Source organism: Homo sapiens, chromosome 18 (genome assembly GCF_000001405.40).
Source record: "Homo sapiens chromosome 18, GRCh38.p14 Primary Assembly".
In the NCBI taxonomy this organism is placed as follows: domain Eukaryota; kingdom Metazoa; phylum Chordata; class Mammalia; order Primates; family Hominidae; genus Homo; species Homo sapiens.
The window spans coordinates 13,267,661-13,289,003 of NC_000018.10; the positions used below are offsets into that span (position 1 = coordinate 13,267,661).

The 21,343-nt window shown below is 46.8% G+C and overlaps 1 protein-coding gene across 39 annotated transcripts in view, besides 6 other annotated features; it reads left to right on the forward strand.

Annotated features, from left to right (window-relative positions):
• The window catches only part of LDLRAD4 (low density lipoprotein receptor class A domain containing 4), a 435,073-nt gene that overhangs the window by 49,979 nt on the left and 363,751 nt on the right, over positions 1–21,343 (forward strand). For 23 of the 39 annotated variants that reach the window (NR_172142.1, XM_047437785.1, NM_181481.5 and 20 more), the window contains exon 2: positions 10,445–10,528. The gene's annotated coding sequence lies outside the window, so the exon portion shown is untranslated. Of the gene's footprint in view, positions 1–8,593; positions 9,552–9,701; positions 9,883–10,444; positions 10,529–10,916; positions 10,974–21,343 lie in introns of those variants that run through there. The other 16 variants (XM_047437773.1, XM_047437776.1, XM_024451260.2 and 13 more) reach the window with 4 other exon arrangements.
• Positions 710–1,004: a silencer, noted in NCBI's record as "tiled region #6698; K562 Repressive non-DNase unmatched - State 22:ReprW". NCBI's record gives its function as "represses a minimal TATA promoter and a strong SV40 promoter by Sharpr-MPRA in K562 cells {active_cell/tissue: K562}" and the evidence as "EXISTENCE:reporter gene assay evidence [ECO:0000049][PMID:27701403]".
• Positions 4,930–5,429: an enhancer, noted in NCBI's record as "H3K4me1 hESC enhancer chr18:13272589-13273088 (GRCh37/hg19 assembly coordinates)". NCBI's record gives its function as "activates a minimal SCP1, AML or CMV promoter by ChIP-STARR-seq in primed H9 embryonic stem cells {active_cell/tissue: H9 hESC(primed)}" and the evidence as "EXISTENCE:reporter gene assay evidence [ECO:0000049][PMID:30033119]".
• Positions 11,737–11,846: an enhancer, noted in NCBI's record as "active region_13114". NCBI's record gives its function as "activates an Ori minimal core promoter by ATAC-STARR-seq in GM12878 lymphoblastoid cells {active_cell/tissue: GM12878}" and the evidence as "EXISTENCE:reporter gene assay evidence [ECO:0000049][PMID:35858748]".
• Positions 12,551–13,051: an enhancer, noted in NCBI's record as "H3K27ac hESC enhancer chr18:13280210-13280710 (GRCh37/hg19 assembly coordinates)". NCBI's record gives its function as "activates a minimal SCP1, AML or CMV promoter by ChIP-STARR-seq in primed H9 embryonic stem cells {active_cell/tissue: H9 hESC(primed)}" and the evidence as "EXISTENCE:reporter gene assay evidence [ECO:0000049][PMID:30033119]".
• Positions 13,052–13,552: an enhancer, noted in NCBI's record as "H3K27ac hESC enhancer chr18:13280711-13281211 (GRCh37/hg19 assembly coordinates)". NCBI's record gives its function as "activates a minimal SCP1, AML or CMV promoter by ChIP-STARR-seq in primed H9 embryonic stem cells {active_cell/tissue: H9 hESC(primed)}" and the evidence as "EXISTENCE:reporter gene assay evidence [ECO:0000049][PMID:30033119]".
• Positions 18,656–19,209: an enhancer, noted in NCBI's record as "H3K27ac-H3K4me1 hESC enhancer chr18:13286315-13286868 (GRCh37/hg19 assembly coordinates)". NCBI's record gives its function as "activates a minimal SCP1, AML or CMV promoter by ChIP-STARR-seq in primed H9 embryonic stem cells {active_cell/tissue: H9 hESC(primed)}" and the evidence as "EXISTENCE:reporter gene assay evidence [ECO:0000049][PMID:30033119]".

Genomic DNA, 21,343 nt, shown 5'->3' on the forward strand with positions numbered 1-21,343 from the left:
TTGTTCATTCTCATCTTTTGCTTTTCTGGAAGGTTTCAGCCAGAGGCTGGGGCCCCGCATTCTGGCTGGCTGATTGGAAATCACGCACATGTAAGGATTGTCCAGCAGCTTTCCTGGGGCCCCTGGTGACAGCTTGCATGCCATGAGAACTGGCACAGACTGTGAGTCACCCACTGTCCTTCCTGAGCTTTGACTTAAGGTAACATGGGCAGACCAATGCATTGTTTCTTTTTCTTTTAAAACAATTTTTTAGAGATGAGGCTTCACTATGTTGCCCAGGCTAGACTTGAACTCCTCACTTCAAGCGATCCTCCCACCTCCCCTCTGTAGTAGCTGGGACGACAACTACTACCCCCAGTGCACCTGGCTTGACACATTCTTTTTAGTCTTTTGAAACTCTTGTACTTTCCAAGATGTGCCTGGAGAGATATTTTCCTCTTAAGTTTAAGACTATAGTTTTCTACTGATTTCCTTTGTTTTCCTGTCCCAGGGCAGAATATTTTGTTCCTGTCGATGGACTGCAGATGGTGCCCACTCCGCCTCCCCTGCCAGTCTGTCCTGGACTCTCTATCCGTTTTCCTTAGTCTCAGTTCCTCCTTTACCCTCCTCCCCCCTCGGCTTGACTCTTCTCCCTGCTTCCCTCCCCTGTTGGGATTCTGGCCTAGTGGGAGATGGTTTCATCTGAGCATCTGAAAATATGGGGCTTCTTGGTCTTTATATGCACATCTGAGCATGCTACTGAAGGCAGAGGAAGGGAGATCTCTTAGGGAGTCAGCACATGCAAAATGCTGTGCCTTCAGACTGCCTCTGCTACCTCTTACAAGGAGCCTCACACCGCAGGCTGCCCTTTAGCTGTTCCCTTGGAATGCAGCCTTGTTAAGTCACTGCCAGCGTTTCCCCTCTTGGCGTCCCTTTCTCTTACCTAAGTTGTTAACTCCAGACTTCGCTGCTTTCTTAAAGGCTAAAGTAATGGGCAGAGTAAAACCCTGAAATGTTTAGAAGCTATGCAGTATTATATTGTAAACCTGTAAAAATTCTTAACAAAGTTAGTGGCTTGGAAAGATTTTCATGAGAACTTCAGCTAAAAGGCAGTAAAGTAAATGCCTTAAAATAACTAAACTTTGGCTTATAACAAGGCCATTGTTTGGCAGTGTCCACTTTTTAAAGACTTTCCAGAACTTGGAGGAGGAAATGATCCTGAGACAAAGTAGTGATTTAAAAAATGAAGACAGTAAATTAACATTGACATTATTCGCCAACAATTGATTTCTTGTCTTCCAACTTTTTACCCTGCATTCTGAATAAATTGGACCATGTGAGGAACTAGAAGATTAACTTTAGGGTTTTTGTTTGATTGAAATTGGTTTTGCAGAAGTGGAAATTTGGCAGCATGTATGGAAACCAGTAAATCAGTTTACAGTGTTCTGTGCTTCTTAGTTTATGAAACCCACAAGAATGAGGAAAGGCTGCATGTCTTTGAATGCGAGAGGGCTGAACTAATGTAGGGTTTGCCTTTTCTGGAAGTTTATTTTTACCCTTATTAATTTAGTAGCTTGTAGAGCAGCATGTCCAAACTTTAACTAGTTAATAGTGGCTCCCAAGCTGAGCAAGATTTCAATGCCAATGGTTATTTTTCAGTGGTCTCATAGAGAAAATACTGGGAAATATTCTAAGAATGGTGTAAAATGAAGAGGAACTTGGTAATTTTTTAAAACACTGGCTCAATGAAATGTAAGCAGCTGGCTTACACACAGTGACAATCTTTACAATCAGATATTGTGCTCTGAACTAGTGCTCTGATGAGGTAGTAGAAGCATGTCTCTATTTTCAATTAAAATGATCCGTTAATGTGGGAATATTTGGAGCATCTGTGTCTTTTCAAATGAACCGGGGTAGATGATCTTTTTTTTTTTTTCCTGAGGGGAAGCCCATTTGCGTGGTGGCTTCTGCTGGTAGCATCCGTGCCTGTTTCCCAGCCTGCTGGGGCCCTAGCGAGCTGTCCGACGTCATGTGCTCACACTTGGAGTCAGTCTGAGTCGGCAGTGTGGGAGTTCCTTCCAGAGAGATGTGTTCTTTTCATCTTGAATGGTTCATAGGTTTCTGCAGCAGGCATGGTCTCATTCTCAAACTCAGTGTCCTCACAGCCTTCTTCGACCCCTTCCTCCTGGTATCCCCTTGGATGTTCTGTCCTCCATCCTCCCATGTGGCCCTGTCCGTCACCTGACATCCATGTTAACATGCTTATGGGTATCACTCGAATAGCTGCCTTCACAGCAGGCTCTTGCTGCTGTGGATTTGAACAAGTATTTGTAGAGGAGTCAAGGCAGGCTACCTTGATCTGCAAACACACCAGGGCTGTCTAGAGCCGTGTCACTGGACCGCTGTGCTGGTGTCTCCTGGGGGCTTGCTAGAAATGTGGAGGCTGGGCATGGTGGCTCACATCTGACATCTTAGCACTTTGAGAGGCCAAGGTGGGATGATCTCTTGATCCCAGGAGTTTGAGACCAGGCTGGGCAACACAGCAAGATCCTGATTGTACAAAAATTTTAAAAATTAGCTGGGCCTGGTGGCGTGCCTACCTGTGATCACAGCTGCATGGGAGGCTGAGGTGGGAGGATCACTTGCACCCAGGAAGCAGAGCCTGCTATGAGCTGTGATGGCTTCACTGTAATCTAGCCTGGGTGACTCTGTCTCTTAAAAAAAAAAAAAGAAAAGGAAAAAAAGAAAAGGAAATGTAGAACCTTGGGGCTCACTACAGATGTGTAGAGTCTGAATTGGCCGGGTCGAGAGGGCAAAGTATGCTCGTTCCAGGCCTATTTGCATTACCGCGTACAAGTGTATCACAGCACTGGAAGCCAAGGCAAAGGTACTTTAGCAGTAGAATGTGTTTTCATTAAGTTATTTCAGAGTACTGGATCCAGGACTTTATTTGCAAAGTTTATGCGTAGATGATACAGATGGGGTGAGTTCTGTTTGGCTAGAGCGGAATGCAGTTAGCTGCTTTCTGCTTTCTGGACCCTGCATGGTTGTGCTGCGAGGGATCCTTCCTCAGGGCGTCGGCAGGTTCCACTGGGAGGCTAGAACTCTGCAGGAGCGGAGACCACAGCCAGCACTAAAGAAGTGATCTCTGACAGAAGGGAAGAGAAAATGTATTTCAAATAATGAGACTAAGTATTGTTTTTAGAAATTAAAAAGTTATACATGTGATATGTATGTGTGTGTGTATTTAAATACCACAACCCAGAGTGTGTTTGTGTACATATGTATTTGGATATTATCTGTGTATATATGCATACATGTGTACATATTGCATTTGAAATGTGTGAAAGTACACAGTGACTACTACTATGGGGGATTTACAGAGGAAAGATCAAACATAGTTTAATGGAGGAGAACGACCAATAATATATGTTTATTATTGGCTCAGTTTACCTAAACAACAACTAAACACATACACCAGTGAGCAGTAAACATTTTGCCATTCAGAAATGCTGGGAAATAGGGTGTCATGATTTTTAAACCATTCTAGTTAATATAGAACTGTCCTATTATACCATTGACACTTAAATAATGAGACTCTAATGAGGGTTAGCTAAGACTCAAGTGACTGTAACCAAAATGATTTCTTGCTGCTGATGTAGACGACTGTAGGATCGTCCATTTCTTTGGCATCGTGACGTTAGGCGTTCAGTGCCTGTGTGAAAGCGAAGGGTGGAGAGGGACCCTCTGAGCCTGTAGAAGGCCCATTTCCCAATTCCCACTGGGGGGCTTCCAGCGCACTTTCTGGGTACTTAGTTCACGAGGTCTTTTTGAGTCTGCCGAAGGAGATCTTAGCTACCAATGAAGACCAAAGAGTCCGGGTCGAAGGCCTCTTCTCAGTGTTCTTCCCCTTGTGATGTCCTCAGCATCTGACACAGGGCCTGGCATGTTCACTATCTGATAAGCCCCTGTTGCGTGAAGTCCTTGAATGCCGATAGCGTTCCCTGAGGTTGGCCTTGTCCTGTCTTCCTGTAGATGGCTCTGGAATTTTTGACGCGCAGGAGGTGGGGCCTCTGAACTTTGCTGCCTGAGCACTTGAGCCAAGAGAGTGTTAGTTGACATTAGGCACATAGACTGCTTTTGCTTTGACTGACAGATCTTGGTTGAAGGGAGAGGGTGGGAAAAGCTGAACCAGCCCTGGTACAGGGACTGCTCCCAGCAAGTCAGTTTCCACCCCACCCTCCTGTTCAGTGCTTTTTTTTTTTTTTTTTTTTTTTTAAGACGGAGTCTTGCTTTGCCAGGCTGGAGTGCAGTGGCACAATCTCGGCTCACTTCAACCTCCGCCTCCCAAGTTCAAGTGATTCTCCTGCCTCAGCCTCCCGAGGAGCTGGGACTACAGGTGCATGCCACCATGCCTAGCTAATTTTTGTATTTTTAGTAGAGATGGGGTTTCACCGTGTTAGCCAGGATGGTCTCGATCTCTTGACCTCGTGATCCACCCGCCTCAGCCTCCCAAAGTGCTGGGATTACAGGCGTGAGCCACCACACCTGGCCCTCAGTGCTGACTTTGAGGGATGCTCCTGACCTGTGTGTGGCAGCTGCTCGGGGTCTGGGTTGCCTTGGTCCAGGTAGAAATCCCCTAGAGGGTTGTCGTGGGACTCAGGTCTTTGAAGAGACTGGACACTTGAACTGTGCCCCAGCAATGGCCGGAGTTGGTGCTCTGTGCTCCAGAAGAGGGGACTTGCCGGGTGGCCATCGCCATTCCTTGTTCGTTCCCGGCAAGCAAAATTGGACCACTTTACTGTTGCATCTGGTTTGAAGAGACTTTCATTTCTATTTGGGGAGAAGAACACTCAAACACAGCGAGACAGCTGCCAGACGGTGCCTGGCTTTCGCCTCTGTCTCGCTCCTCCTGGCCGCGTTAGTGTCCCTGGGTATCACCCCATGCCGCGTGCTCCGTATGTGTTCCTCGAATCTGAAAGGCGCTGATGAAATGCTTGCTGCAGCTTTGTTAGGACACAGGCGGTCATGCTTTAGGCTGCTGCGGGGACAGAGGCATTATGCAGCCTGTAGGAGCCATGGCCAGTGCATGGTCACTCTGCATGGCAGCCTTGTAGACCCAGCTGGGACACTTCAGGGACAGCTGGAGACCTCCTGTTGCTCTTGACTGGGGTTACCATGACCGCTAGCTCTTCACTGAGGCCAGACCCAGTGAGTGCAGATTCCTGGTGCTGGCCGATGAGGCCCTAGGAAAGACGCACCTATGGTCAGTCTGTCTTGGCTTCAATTTACTCAGAATAATGTAGTCCTGTGAGAGAGAGAGAAGCTAGGGAGCTGTGGTGCATCAGCTAGTAAAGATGTTAGAAAATTGTCAAAACAAAAACGATGTGGCATTTACAGGTTGAATGCATGAATGAATGCACACGTGCATTTTATGATGTGACACTGTCCCTGATGCAAAAATCAGGTGGGTTACTGCATCTGTGGTGATGGGGTGGGTCCATCTGCAATGTTTCTGAAAAAAACATCATAAAGCAAGGTTGGTTTTGGGAAGGGTGCCTTTCTTTTCTATTTCATATGTCACCAGCTGCTCCGTGTGTTTTCTGTCCCATTATGATTTTCCTGAGATGGCTCTTCACTCTGTCTCTGGGCCTCCTTGTGTTTAATTTATTTGTTTTTGAGACAGGGTCTCACTTTGTTGCCCAGGCTGGAGTGCAGTGGTGTGATCATAGCTCACTGCAGCCTCAAACTCCTGGGCTCAAGAGATCCTCCCGCCTCAGCTTCCTGAGCAGATAGGACTATAGGTGCGCACCACCACATCCGGCTAATATTTTCTTTTTTATAGAGACAGGATCTTGCTATATTGCTCAGGCTTGTCTTGAACTTAAGCTATCCTCCCACCTTGGCCTCTCAAAGTGCTGGAATTCCAGGTGTGAGCTGCCGGACCCAGCCCCTTGTGTTTTAAATGGCTCTGCTTCCCAGGACCCAGCCACCAGCTGGAGTGAGTCCTGCTCCCCAGAAAGGCCAGAAGCCTGCGGCCAGGCTTCTCTTCAACTTTTGCCCAAACAAATTTCCCATCTTCCTTTACCTTAGAGAGTGAGAACACCGTAAAGATGAAGAATAAGCGCGCCTGCTTCCCTTCAGGGTTTTCCATCCTCCAGCCCCTCATGCAGTCCTGTCCTGGTGCAAGGGAGGTGGTGCCTGTCCCTTTTCAGGAGTTCCACCCACTCTGCCTCTTCTTGCTCTGCTTCTTAGGGGCCCATGGCTCACAGCTGTGTCTGGGACGTGTCATTCAGGAGGTGGTTTAGGGTTAGTGAGATCGGCAGCCCCACAGGACCCTGCTGTTGGAAACCCACGTGTGGATGCCCCGATGCCTGGTGCCATAGGGTATGGCGTGTGAGGAGCTCAGCCAGTGCCTTCTCTTCTCTCCTCAGCGAGCGGCTGTGCTTGCTGGCTCTCCTCGGTGGCTTCCTCTTGAATGAACCTTTCTTCTGAAGGCTTGATTTCCTTCCGGGAGGCTTAGTGTTTCTGCTCAGCCTTCTTTCTTGGAGGCCTGGGCTTGATGTTGAGTTGTGTTTGGTGAGGTTATGGAAAAAGCCTGTGTTTACTAAAACAGAGGGAGGAGGCCTGGATGGGGCATCAGGTCTGTCTTTGTGCTGTAACCTGGAGCCGTTGATCTCTTGGCTGGACCTGGGGAGGGGTCGGCCAGTGACCCCTCCAGTTCCCTGCTGGCCCCTACACAGGGGATGCTAAGCAGCAGGTCAGTGTCTATTTTCACAGCTAGAGAGTTAAAGTTATGCTGAAAGGAAGAGGTGAATTTGTTGCAGTTCTCTGCCTCGTGTCATGGAACTGCTGTTTTTAGTTTTTCTTGGCTTGGGTGTGAGAATCCTGCTGCCTGCGAGGCTAAGCATGAGGGAGAAAGCGTGGAGACGATGATCACGTTTGCTGAGTGATTGATGAAGAAGTGGGAATATATCATACAGTCCTGAATGTAGATTTCAGGGGAGTGTGACAGGTTTCTGTAATGAATAAAGTTTTTCTTTTGTACTCTTTTAAGTAATTGTATTGATTTAAATATTTTCAAATATCACTGTTATTAAAAGTAGTCCCTTTGGAATGTAAAATAGACACAATGTTGGGTAGCAGGAACTGTGTATGTGTTGAATTATTATTTTCAACAGAGCTTAAAGTCTTGATTAAAATAGTTAAAAATCATCAGTTTAAAAATGGAGTATCTTAAAGAGCTGGGCATGGTGGTGTGCACATGTAGTCCTAGCTACTGGGGAGGCTGAGGCAGGAGGATCATTTGAGTCCAGGAGTTTGAGGCTGCAGTGAGCTATGATTGTGCCTGTGAGCAGCCTCTGCACTGTAGTCTGGATACCATAGCAAGACCCTGTTTCAAAAAAAAAAAAAAATCCAGAAGAAATTTTGAAACAGGTTGCCAGGAAATTGGATTGGCATTTTGTTTTAGAATTAGAGCCTGGTCTTTTGACCCATACAGGTTTTGTCACTTTAGTTGGGAAGGAAAGATTTATTGATACTAATGGAAAATTAAAAATGAGTCACAAATTCTTACTTTGGAAATTCTCTTAGGGAGCTTTTTTGTTTTTAACCTTGAACTGTAGATAAGTAGATGCCAGAGAAGTGGCAAGGATATTTGACAAAAGTAATAACTACTGAGTGACATTTTAAGCACTGACTCAGGTTCACTGGTAAAATGAAATCAGTGCTGGAGAAGTTGTGTGTTCATTCTTTTGGGGTAGAACATGAAGCCAAATATCTTCAACCTATTTTGAAATTCAGAGCTATGGGCTCTACTCTGAAGGCTTGAATAAGTTCGGTTGCTGTGGCCTTTTTGTGACTAGACATTGGCAAATCATAGTTCTATTACTTTGGCTCACTTAAAAAAATGTTAATAGCACAACAAGCTGACTGTAGTCAATAATAACTTAATTATATATTTTAAAATTGAAGAGTGTAATTGATTGTTTGTAACTCAAAGGATAAATGCTTAACAGGATGGATACCCCATTCTGCATGATTTACTTATTTCATATTATATGCCTGTATCAAAACATCTCATGTACCCTGTAAATACATATACCTACTATGTGCACACAAAAATTAAGAATAAAAAAAATGTTAAAGGCCTCCCATGTGCCACATACTCTGCAAAGTGTTAGGGATGCCAGGATGACGGGGATGTGGTTTTTGCCCACAAGGAGCTAAAAGTTGAGTAGGAGAATGAATTTCCACTTTTGGTAGATGAGGCAGGGCAGAGGCCTGCTCTAATGTACAGATGTGTATGCGTTTAGTATATGCATATATGCTTTATATTATGTAACCCATATTTAATTACTAAGTTATTTTATTTATTTATTTATTTTGAGATAGGGTCTTATTCTGTCGCCCATGCTGGAGTGCAGTGGGTCGATCTTGGCTCACTGCAACCTCAGCCTCTTGGGTTCAAGTGGTTCTCATGCCTCAGCCTCCCGAGTAGCTGGAACTACAGGTGTGCACCACCACGCTCAGCTAATTTTTGTATTTCTTGGTAAAGATGGGGTTTCACTGTGTTGGCCAGGCTGGTCTTGAATTCCTGGCATCCTGATCCACCCGCCTCGGCCTCACAAAGTACAGGAATTACAGACATGAGCCACCGTACCTGGCCTAATTACTAAGTTACATTTATCAGTTTTCTGTTGCTGTGTAACAAATTATTATAAACTTAGGAGCTGAAAACAGTACTCATTTGTTATCTCACAGTTTCCAAGGCTCCACAGTCAGGCATGGCTTAGTTGGTTCTCTGGTCAGGCTGTAGTCAAGGTGTTGGCCAGGCTGTGTTCCCATCTGCAGGTTTGAGTATGGAAGAATCCACCTCCAGGCTCATTCATGTTGCTGGCAGAATTCATTGACTTGTAACTGCAGGACTGATGTCCCTGTTCCCTTGCTGCTTGTCAGCTAGGGGCTGCTCTCAGGTCCTGGGGAGCCCTTGTAGTGCTTTGCCAAGTGGCCCCTCACAGGCCCCATCATGAGGTGGCAGCTCGCTTCTCCAAGCCAGCAAGGGAGTCTGTCACTCCCTCGTTGCGGACTCCTATGTAGGTCGCCTGGTGTGGGGAGAAGCATTCTTTGTGGTATTCGGTTGGGTAGAAGCCAATCACAGCTTCCACCTACACTCAAGGGGAGGGAGTTGTACAGGGTGTAAGCAATTTGGGGAGTCACCTTAGAATTCTGCCCACCACAGTACCTTTCTGGTTATTTCATGGACTTCCGTTCCCAAGAAATCTGAGCGTTTGCGTCCTAGGAAGACTGGTGAGAGCAGCCCCAGTGGAGGAATAAAAACTAAGATCTGGAAAATCAGCAGTGGGTTGTTTTCATCTCTCAGCAGGCAGGAAACAGGAGGAGAAAGGAATGTCTGTAGGCTCCCAACACTGATGGGAAGGAGGTGTTTGGCTGGGGTAGAGCTCCGCAGGAATCTCCCAGGCTCCTCTAGCTAGGTGCAGCCGTGTTTTATCCGGCTGTCTTTACATGGGCTGATCACTCAGGAGTGGCATATGGCAGGAGCACGCTTTGGGGTACGAGCCTCCTGGAGAATGAACTGCAGCACACAAGCCAGACAGATGGTGGCTTAGTCCCCCTTGGACAAGAGTGTGTCCTGCACACTGGAGGGCGGGGTGCTGAGAGGCGCTTGTGGTGTCTGAGGCCGAGCTTTGCTGAGTTCACCTGAAACTGCTTTGGAGCTCGAGGCGGTCACCCGAGGATACCCGGCGCTCCACCTGGGACGGTGCGATGCCCACAGAGCATGCTCACTCAGTTGGGATGGGGATGCCAGTGACAGGTTGTATGGAATGGACAAAATCTGAAGCACCAGCTGGGAGGACACTCTCCTAACAGGATGGTGGGCAGGTAAAGGCAGCCTTGCAGGCAGAGTCACGAACGTTACCATCCCAGCAGTGTCACTGCTAGAGGGCTTGCCTCTTCCATGAAATCAGACATGTATTTCAGCAGAGGAATCACTGGGGCCTGCCCGTCTTAGGTGGGCCCATGTTGTCTTGAGACTGGATTGTCGTGAAAGAAGATGGTCTTTTCACAGCTTTTAGAGTGTGTATGAATTTTAAGAAGACCAGTCCAACAGGGATACTATCTGTTATTTGGCCTCTCATCAAAGAGGAGGCCCGTGCCTCTGCAGGAACAAGCGTGTGTCCTTTAACAGATGAGGACTCGGTGCCCCTGTGACTGAGTGGAGGCAGAGGGGGATTTTGTCCCAGTTTGGTAATTCTGTGCTGTAATTCTTCTCTCTTCCTTCCCTTTATTACTTGATGCCTATTATTGCATTTTTATTGTATTCATTTTGATATTTATGCCTCTTCTCGTGACAGCCCTCAAATATTTAACTGTTTTTGAAACTTGAGAGGGGGACACACAAAAAGAAACATGGCTCACAGAAGTTCTTCATCTTTCTTTCTAGCGGTTCAAGCTCTACGTTCGTGACATCAAACCTCCTGTTGGGCCATTTCCGAGAACTCCCATCAGTTTCTGTATAGTGTAAAAGGTAAGTGGAATTACTTGTGACTGTTCTTTGTGATGATGTCTGGGAAGCAGAGCTTGTCGCGGCAGGAGCTGCTCTGCAGTGGTGGACCTGTCTGGCTGCGTTTGTTTTGACAAGGGTGTGCCTCATTTGTGTGTTTCTTCTTTGGGGCTGGATGTTAATGGCTGGGGCTTGGGTATCTATTCACAGTAGAAGCTTGGGTGACACCTGTGTGTTTTCAGAGCCAGCCCTGGTGGGGGACAGTCAGTGGCAGAGCTGGGAGATGCCCAGAGCCCCCTACCTGGCATGCCAGCTTCAGCCTCTGGCCTCAGGATGCCCTGCTCCGCTCGAGACGCCATGTTTTCTCAGTTCATCTGTGATTTTAGTGATGCTTATTCTGTCTCATTGTCAGGCTTCACTTGATGTCAAAGAACATGAAGTGAAGAAATACATGAGAATTTTCAGGAAGGTAAGACATTCTATAAAATATAAGGTCCATTTTTTTCCCTATATTTTTAATGTGCCTGGTGGTGGGACTCATTGCTTATGGGAAATCCCTTTCTAGAATGTAAGCCTTATGAGGGCAAGGACCTCCCTCTCTCCCGCTTGTCTTCCTTCCTTCCATTTATTTTTTCTTCAGGGTCTAGAACAGTGCCTGCAGTGTCAGGAGCTCGATAAAACTTTTGGCAAATGAAACAACTTGATGAGGAATCCCCCCTGAAGCTCTTGGAGCATAACCCAGCCTTTTCCTTTCTGGTTGCTGTTGGCAGCAGAGGAGGCACCTGGAGAATCCAGGAGGATTTGTGGTGCTTCCTTGCTGAGGCACACAGACCCTGGAATGTAAATGGACTTTTTACAGTTGGGTGCAAAGCAGTATGCATGGCAGAGCAAACCACGCCTGGGTTCTGTGTGGGGGCAGCTCCTCCACTGCTGAGCTCGTGTGTTTCTCTCCTCTCTCCTGAGTGAATTTCATGCCCAATCGATTGGCTCTCGGGAAGCTGGGGTGGAAAGAGCTCACGGGGAACACCCAGACCGCACGCCTTGTGGATGTTCAGTGACTGACTAAATGCTTGTTATTCACACGATCCCTTTATTAACCTGACAGAACAGCACGGTGTTTGAAAATCCCTGCTCTTCGCTGGCTTGGTGGGTGTGGAGGAGCTGTTTTTCTTCCATCGTTTGGCACACCCACCGCCAGTTTGAAGTGGGCGGCGGCAGCGCCTCTCTACCAGGGCTGACAAAAGCGTGGGTGCAGTTTCATTTCTCTTTTATTGTCTCAAATACAGTTGCCATTGAATTGACCCACCAAAAACTAGCACTGTCTTCAAGTAGAATTTTACTAGGTAGCGGAACACACCACTGGACTATGCCCCCGAAGACTGAAACTTGAGTTACAACATTTCAGCAAAAGTAAAAATAATTCTTGCAAATGACATAAGTATCTGATTTTCCCCCTTATGTGGGGTTACCTCACTCATCAATTAGTTTAAGCAACTTTCAAAATTGGTAATGGAAAACTTTGTCTTGACTGTACTGGTATATGTGGATTTTAAATTAAATACAGAGCTACGTTGCTTCTCCTGATAATCAGAGCAGCTAAAGAAGAAATCACTATCTCTGCAGAACTGCGTGGCGCTTCATCGTCATGGGCAATTTTCAAGCACAGACTTAGATTGCGAGGCGTCGTAAGAACTTTCACACCTCTAAAATAGGTTCTTACAGCTGACTGTCCTGGAATTTATATTTGCTCTGTTACTTGCAAAATTTTGTCCCTTAAGCAGCTCACAGCTGGACTGTGAGACATTCCTAAGAGCTGATAAAATGGACAGGTGGTATTGCCTTCTTCTGCTTTCTGTCTGCTTGCCTGGGAGGGCCCAAGGAGGCCTAGAGCTTTGCGTTAACTGCAGGATGTGCCTGTCTCCTTGTACAGTGGATTTATTTGGACTTGGTTTTAAAATGCAGCCTGGTCCCCGTGTTTAGGTTGTTATTAAATGCACTTTTGAGTTTTTCCCTCCTCGATGAATCTGAAAACATATGCCCTTGCCATATGGCGTTTGTGTGGGGAACTCAGAAGCCACAGACCTTGGGTTGAGTTCTGGCGTGGTAACTTTCATTCACTTTGTTACCTTGGCAAGTCCTAACCCTCTATGAGTCTCAGCTTTTCTCATCTTTAAATGGGATAATATTTATCTCATGGAATTACTTTGAAGATGCCTAATTCAGCATTCCATGCACAGTCGTCACTCAACAACATGTTGGCTGTTATTTTCCACCCTAATGCTGGCTTTCTGCTGTGATCTGTGTGCTGGGGGGATTGGAGGAAAATAGCAGAGGTCCTGCTCTCTCTGTCCTCTTTCAGGACTACGGAAGTTTGCTAAGGAATTTCACACGGCATCCTGCTGGAGCGTGTGGGGGAGTGCTGCTGACGTGATTAAGCACAAAGGCACTGGGGTGTGGGCAAAGAAATCGTTAATTCAGGCTCCCTGCACCATTCCCTGACCTCCGCATAAGACAATGCAACCTCAGACTGAGATCTGGCTGGCTGTCAGCACAGACTGGAAAGGTGCAGCTGGAGAAAACTCCACCTCTCTTTTGGTTTTCTTCTTGGTCCTTAAGGGATCTGAAGGCACCGGTGCAGACCAGGGACCATGCGGATGTCTTCCAGTGTGAGACCAGTGGTCCCTGTGGGGAGACACACTGGAACAATGAAAAAATAACCTTAGACCCAGGCAATGCATCCCGACCTGAACTTCTATCTTTGCTCAATTTAAACTTTTTAAGGTAAAATCAAAGAGGACCAATAGTACTGGGAGAAGCAATCATTACCTTTGAATATAGGTCCCTGCTGTCTACACTGGTAAATAGAGTCCTGCTTATTTTCACCAGATGTGTGTATAAAGTGATCTTCGGCACCGTGCAATAAAACAGATTAACTCGTGAAAATGTTATCAAACAAAAAGAATTGGAATCCCAGCACTTTGAGAGGCTAAGGCAGGAGTATCGCTTGAGCACAGAAATTTGAAACCAGCCTGGGCAACATAATGAGACCTCAGCTCTACTAAAAAATCAAAAAAATTATCTGGGCCTGGTAGCTCATGCCTGTGGTCCCAGCTACTCAGGAGGCTGAGGCGGGAGGATCACTTGAGCCTGGGAGTTTGAGGCTGCAGTGAGCTATGATCATGCCACTGCACTCTAGCCTGGGCAGTACAGCGAGATCCTGTCTCCAATCTCGCCCTCCACCCCCCTCAAAACAAAAACAAAAACAAAAAATACCCACAAAAGACAATTGGAGTTGTCATGTGAATGACCATCTAATGCTGGGGGCTTCTAACTTGAGGAGGACTGAAACTCAGCCTTGAAGGTGGTTCCTGCAGGGGGTGCCCCGAGGTTTCCCACCTGCATGGGCAGTGGGGAAGCTGTGGGTCAGAGCTTCTGCTGGCCTTTCAGGTTGCTATCAGGGAAGTGACACCAAGGTGGCCAGTGCTGGGATCCTGGGAGGGATCCCAGGTTTGGGGGTTCTATTCAGGGGTCTCCCTTGGCTTCTGAAAGAGTTTCTGAGTTCTTCAGCCTTATTTGGGACCCCTCTCTGTGTCTCCCATGTCTCCTCTTACCTCCTGTCTCCTCCCGGACCTCTGTCTACCCAGCATCAGGGGACTGGATTCTGAAGCTCCATCTCACCATTGTCCCCGATTCTTCAACTTCAGGGTTGTATTAGTCCGGATTCATGCTGCTGATAAAGATATATCCGAGACTGGGAAGAAAAGGAGGTTTAATTGGACCTAACAGTTTTGCATGGCTGGGGAGGCCTCAGAATCATGACGGGAGGCGAAAGGCACTTCTTACATGGCGGCAGCAAGAGAGAATGAGGAAGAAGCAAAAGCGGAAACCCTTGATAAACCCATCATATCTCATGAGACTTATTCACTATCATGAGAATAGTATGGGAAAGACTGGCCCCCATGATTCAACTACCTTCCCCTGGGTCCCTCCCATAACACGTGGGAATTCTGGGAGATACAAGTCAAGTTGACTTGTGGGAACACAGCCAAACTCTATCATCCTGCCCCTGACCCCTCCAAATCTCACATCCCCACATTTCAAAACCAATCTTGCCTTCCCAATAGTCCCCCAAAGTCTTAACTCATTTCAGCATTAACCCAGAAGTCCACAGTCCAAAGTCTCATTTTAGGTAAGGCAAGTCCCTTCTGCCTGTGAGCCTGTAAAATCAAAAGCAAGCTAGTTACTTCCTAGTTACAATAAGGGTACAGGTATTGGGTAAATACAGCTGTTACAAATGGGAGAAATTGGCCAAAACAAAGGGGCTACAGGGCCTATGCAAGTCCAAAATCCAGCGAGGCAGTCAGATTTTAAAGCTTCAAAATGATCTCCTTTGATCCCAGGTCTCACATCCGCGTCACACTGATGTAAGAGGTGGCTTCCTGTGGCCTTGGGCAGCTCCACTCCTGTGGCTTTGCAGGGTACAGCCTTCCTCCTGGCTGCTTGCACATGCTGGCATTGAGTGTCTGTGTCTTTTCCAGGCACACGGTACAGGCTGTCTGTGGATCTACCATTCTGTGGTCTGGAGGATGGTGGCCCTCTTCTCCCAGCTCCACTAGGCCATGCCCCAGTAGGGACTCTGTGTGGGGGCTCCCTAGCAGAGGTTCTCCATGAGGGCCCCGCCCCTGCAGCAAACTTTTGCCTGGGCATCTAGGCATTTCCATACATCTTCTGAAATCTAGGCGGAGGTTCCCAAACCTCAATTCTTGACTTCTGTGTACCCGCAGGCTCAACACCATGTGGAAGCTGCCAAGGCTTGGGGCTTCCACCCTCTGAAGTCACAGCCTGAACTGTATGTTGGCCCCTTTCAGCCACTTCTGGTGTGGCTGGGACACAGGGCACCAAGTCCCTAGGTTGCATACAGCACGGGGACCCTGGGCCCAGCCCACAAAACCACTTTTTCTTTCTGTGCCTCTGGGCCTGTGATGGGAGGGGCTGCTGTGAAGGTCTCTGACAAGGCCTGGAGACATTTTCCCCATGGTCTTGGAGATTAACATTAGGCTTCTTGCTATTTATGCACATTTCTGCAGCCAGCTTGAATTTCTCCTCAGAAAATGGGTTTTTCTTTTCTATTGCATAGTCAGCCTGCAAATTTTCCAAACTTTTATGCTCTGCTTCCCTTATACAACTGAATGCCTTTAACAGCACCCAAGTCACCTTTGGATGCTTTGCTGCTTAGAAATTTCTTCCACCAGATACCCTAAATCATCTCTTTCAAGTTCAAAGTTCCACAAATCTTTAGGGCAGGGGCAAAATGTTGCCAGTCTCTTTGCTAAAACATAGCAAGAGTCAGTTTTGCTCCAGTTCCCAACAAGTTCCTCATCTCTGTCTGAGACCACCTCAGCCTGGATTTTATTGTCCTTATTGCTATCAGCATTTTGGGCAAAGCCATTTAACAAGTCTCTAGGAAGTTTCAAACTTTCCCACATTTTCCTGTCTTCTTCTGAGCCCTTCAAACTGATCTGATTTCTGCCTGTTACCCAGTTCCAAAATCACTTTCACATTTTCGAGTATCTTTTCAGCAGTGCTCCACTCTACTGATACCAATTTACTGTGTTAGACCATATTCACCCTGCTGATAAAGACATACCCGAGACTGGGAAGAAAATAGGTTTAATTGGACTTACAGTTCCACATGGCTGGGGAGGCCTCAGAATCGTGGCTGAGGGCAAAAGGCACTTCTTACAGGGCGGCAGCAAGGGAGAATGAGGAAGAAGCAAAAGCAGAAACAAACCTATCAGATCTCGTGAGACTAATTCACTATCACGAGAATGGCACAGGAAAGGCCCTCATAATTCAATTACCTTCCGCTGGGTCCCTCCCACGATATGTGGGAATTCTGGGAGATACAATTCAAGTTGAGATTTGGGTGGCAACACAGCCAAACCAAATCAAGGGTTAAGAGTGGCATTGAGAAAATCAGAAATGCAGCAAGGGCATCAGGGATGCCGAATGCCCTTGTTCATAGTTTGGATTAGAGAATGCCAGCCCGCAGGAAGAAAGTCCCGTGGTGGGAACACCACTTTCAGAGGTGGGAAAGAGAAACTTACCACCTCTGCCACTTCTGCCCATGGCCTGAGACCTGGGCCTCGTCTCCGCCTGCTTGTTGGATTCTGTCTTCTGTGATTAGAGTTTATTAGTTTCTCATCAAGCAGACCTGTGGAGTCATATGGGATAAATACTTTGACGCTTTGCTTTAAACTCAAATGCGCTAGCAGCTCCGTCAGTTCATGCCTAGCACAGCATTGTCAAACTGCTAAAAAGCCAGCAAATTTTCCACCTAAAATTTTGTGGGGGAGGCCAGGGTGGGGGATGTGGGGAAAAGATGTAAAAATAAACCCTCAGATTCTGGGTTGCTTGGTGGTGTGTGTATTTTTCCGTGGTGCGGGAGGTTAGAAATAGCATTGCTTTTTATGGGATTCTCAGCAGCAGCTTGAAAATTTGGCTTTGAGGATTTGGTCTCCCTGTGTGGGTGAGGTGAGTCCTCTGGTGCGGTTTGGGGGGCAGTGCACCCCAGCACCTCCCTGTCCGTTTTCCGCCTTCCTGCCCCTGCTCGAGGCCACCCGGATGAGCTGTGCTCGAGTGTGAAACACGCTTTGCCAAGGTCAGGTTCCTGAGATGACTCGCCCGTGGCAGCTGGTGCCAGTGTTAACAGACTGCATCGCAGCAGTCCCCATAAGTCACATCAGTGCATCTGTGAGGGCAGTCGCAGGGAGGGGCGTCCTTTGGGGATGTGGCATGTCGGACGGGCTGTGCCTCTCAAGCCGATGTGAGACGACCTCCCCTTGACGTCCTGACATTGGTTGGGGGCGTGGGCTGCCCTTTCAAAGAGAGTCCTGAGGGATTCTTGAAATTTGTTATATAGTTCTTACAAATGGAGGGAGGTTGCAGCGTCCCTCTCAAGTGCAGTACAGAAGCGAAATGTGAAGGAGACAGGCACTGGGACAGTGTTTGTAAGCCCCAGGGGCCCAGGGGCATCTGTGAATTCCTTGAAATGTTGCCAGTTCCTGGGGAGAATGCCAGGGCTTTGATAGGATTCTCAGGAGGGTTTTGACCTCCAGAAAGGGTTAAGAGCACTTGCAGTGGAGCACAAGGTGTGTGGTTCATTTGGCTTGGGGCAGTCACTTCAGTGATGGTCAGATTGGAGGTGTCATGAGTGGGCAGAGGGTGACATGGACAGGCTTGCCGAGGACAGTCAGGGGACAGGATTCTGTTGTCAATTGTGTAACTTAACATGGGGGCCATTGGAGGTGTCTGCTGGGCTTTTCCTTTGTAGGCTTTCTTCTTGAAATTCATATAATATTTTAAAGTTGGCGTGCTTCCTGCAGGAGGCTTCGTGGCGATGCTGGGTTAGCTTAGTGAGCTCAGTGCTTGGGAGAGGGTTCCGCTGTGCACAAGGGGTCTGGGGTCTGTCTGCTTAGCCTGACGCTTTAACAGTTTCCCTCTTTTTGTCCTGGGATCTGGTTTGCTGGGGCTGTCCACATTTTTCCATGTCTTTCTTGAAACTCGGGGGTTGTGGTAGGGAAGTCAAGGCTGCACCCTTGTTAGAGAATGGTGGGGGAAACTCAAGCCAGTCCTTCAACTCAGCTTTCACAGCACACTGTTAACTTTGTTTCTCAAACTTTTTGTCCCTTTAAAAAAAACTGTGGTAAGATATACATAATGTGGAGAAGTTGGAACCCTTCTGTGTTGCTGGAAAAAATGTAAAATGGTTCAGTTGCTATGGAAACAGTATATTTTAACCATTTTTAAGCGTACGGTTCTGTGGCATTAAGTACATTCACGTTGTGCAACCATCACCACCATCCATTTCCAGAACTCTCTCCATTTTCCCAAACCAAAACTGTGTACCCATTAAACATTAACTCTGCATTCCCTCTCCCTCCAGCCGCTGACACCCATGGTTCTACTTTCTGTCTCTATGATTTTGACTGCTCTACATACCTCATAAGTGGAATCATGCAGTATTTGTCCTTTTGTGTCTAGTGTATTTCACTTAGCATAAAGTCTTCAGGGTTCACACACATTGGAGCCTATCTCAGAATCTCCTTCCATTTTAAAGCTGACTCATATTATGTTGTCCTTGGAACAGGAAGACGAGAGCTAGAGATACAGTTGGAAAAGAAAGTTAGGGTCAAACTATAGAGTTTTGTTATTTATTTATTTTTAGAGACAGGGTCTTGCTTTGCCACCCAGGCTGGAGTGCAGTGGCACAATCATAGCTCACTGCAGCCTCAACTTACTGGTTCAAGCAATCTTCCTGCCTCAGCCTCCTGAGTAGTTGGGAATACAGGTGTGTGTCACCATGCCCAGCTAACTTTTAAAATGTTTTGTAGAGATGAGGTCTCACTATGTTGCCCGGGCTGGCCTCGACCTCCTGGCGCCATGAGGTTTTGAATGCTCTGCATAGATTATCCCATACGATGTGGGAACCACTGCACTTTTCAGAGGAGACAGTGTCATTAGATGCGTGTTTAGGAAGCTGAGTCTGGTGGCTGAGGGTGGGAGTCAGTGGAGAAGGAGACGGAAGCTGAGAGGGCCAGCCAGGAAGGACAGTGAGGAGCTGTCCCTGGCCTGGGGGACAGGGCCTGAGCTGAAGCAACAGCTGTGGAGAAGAGGCCTGGGGTGGAGGGATCCGTGCGCCGATTGTGTTGGTAGCTGGAATGTGCAGGGCAGGTGGGGCAGAAGGTGGATTGCAGAGTGACTTTTGGGCTTCAGTCTTGGGTAAAGAGAAGGTGGTCTGAGCGGAGACAGCAGCCTAGGAGGTGGCGCTCACTCCGAGTGGAGAGCCTGGACCAGCCCGTGTGGCTGGATGCGTCTGGAGGGCAAATGTGGGGAAATGACTGGAGATTGGCTAGAAAGCAGTCAGGCTGGGAGAAGTCACCACACACAGAGACTTGGTGTCACCCGCAACAGCACAATCCCCACCAGGACGTAGAGGAAATAAGAAAGCAGCCCTCTGGAGAGCAGGAGAAGTCTGCAAATATCTTAGTATATCTTTCTATGAAATACTGTCCCATAAAGTACAGAAAGATACACTCAGATGTCTTGATCTTGGTGCTGTAATGACATTTATTATAGTATAATCAGGATGATCTGTTCTGTTATCAAGTTTTTGTTTGTTTTTCATGATTTTTCAAAAAACAGTTGTTAACACTTTTTAACGTTTAGCCCAGGTAGGAGGATCACTGAAGGCCATGAGTTTAAACAGTAAGGTTGAAATGAGTTTGCCTTCTGTATCTCTTGAGTTGTATCTGATAAAGAGAAACTACCCGGTGCTTCCCTCTGGAGAGTGGGTGCAGGGTGGGGACATCCTCTGGATAAGTAATTGGCTGGTGACTACGACGGCGCCACCCTATGGTGTGGGCTTCTGTAACCTTCTCCACTGTCTGCCCTCAGGTTATGGGGTGGGGCGGGAGGTGCCCAAATTCTTATTCCTACACTCTTCTGATTTCACATTGAACTTAGTGTGGATGGATGGAGAGAGAAACACTTATTATGAGGATTGGATTTAGTCCCAATTGAAACCTGGTAATCAAATATTTATTTCAGAGAAAATGCAAGTAATTAATATAAGCTTCCTACAATTTAGAATAATTAGTGGAAGAATGACTAGAAAATACTGACATTGGTTCAATACAGAGAAAAACGTTAAAAACCTTATCTCACAAGAGGCAAAGACATTAAGGCAAAATGTACCTGCATAACTAGTTTTAATTTAGTAATTTGGGTGTTTAGGTATTTTTAGAAAATCTCATATAAACGTAGAAGCCGTCAGATAAATGACCAGATGCTACTATTATCCTCTCCAAAGTGATCACTCTATTCCGTGAAGAAGGTGGAATGGGAACAATTACTAATTTGTATTCCTTTCACATTTTGAACTGAGGATTTACTTCTGTAGTAATCCTAATTGTAATATTTGGGTGGTGGTTTTAATCAGTAAAATGTCTGGCAGTTTTATAATCCTCTAGATAAATGTGAGTTGAATGTAATGCAGAATGAAATAGGCAAATGTCCCAACCTCAACTTCAGGTGAATAAAGGAAAATGATATCCTTTTAGCCACCTTCCATTAGCTTAGCCAAAATTACACTGATAAAGGTCTCTTCCCTATCTGTTTAAAGGACACGTGTATTGAAACTGAAAGATTAGTTTAGCTATCCATATTAGAGTTGTTTATATTAAAATTGTGTCCAATTTATAGTAAAGAAAAATTTAGTTGCTAATAGGACCAGATACACAACTTTGGCTATTTCAAGTTAAAATATTGCTGAAAAATTCTATTTCAACAATCTAAAAATAATCTGTAAAGGTGTTAGCGCAATATAGTGACTATGAAAGAAAAGCCATGCAGAAGTCACTCTGCAAGGTGAGTCATGGGGCCACAGTAGCAGCCCCGCAGACCGTGGTCACTCTGCAAGGTGAGTCACGGGGCCACGGTAGCAGCCCCACAGACCGTGGTCACTCTGCAAGGTGAGTCACGGGGCCACGGTAGCAGCCCCACAGACCGTGGTCACTCTGCAAGGTGAGTCACGGGCCACGGTAGCAGCCCTGCAGACCGTGGTCACTCTGCAAGGTGAGTCACGGGGCCACGGTAGCAGCCCCACAGACCATGGCAATTGACCGCACCTTCTGCACTGTGATGACACCCGCAAAGCATGAGGACCTCCTGATATGACTGTCCTACTTAGAAGCACTTAAAACACCACCTAGGAAAGAAATGAACAAGCACAGAGCTTTGGCAGGAGAACTTAGGCACTGTGGAAACAGCCTCATCCAA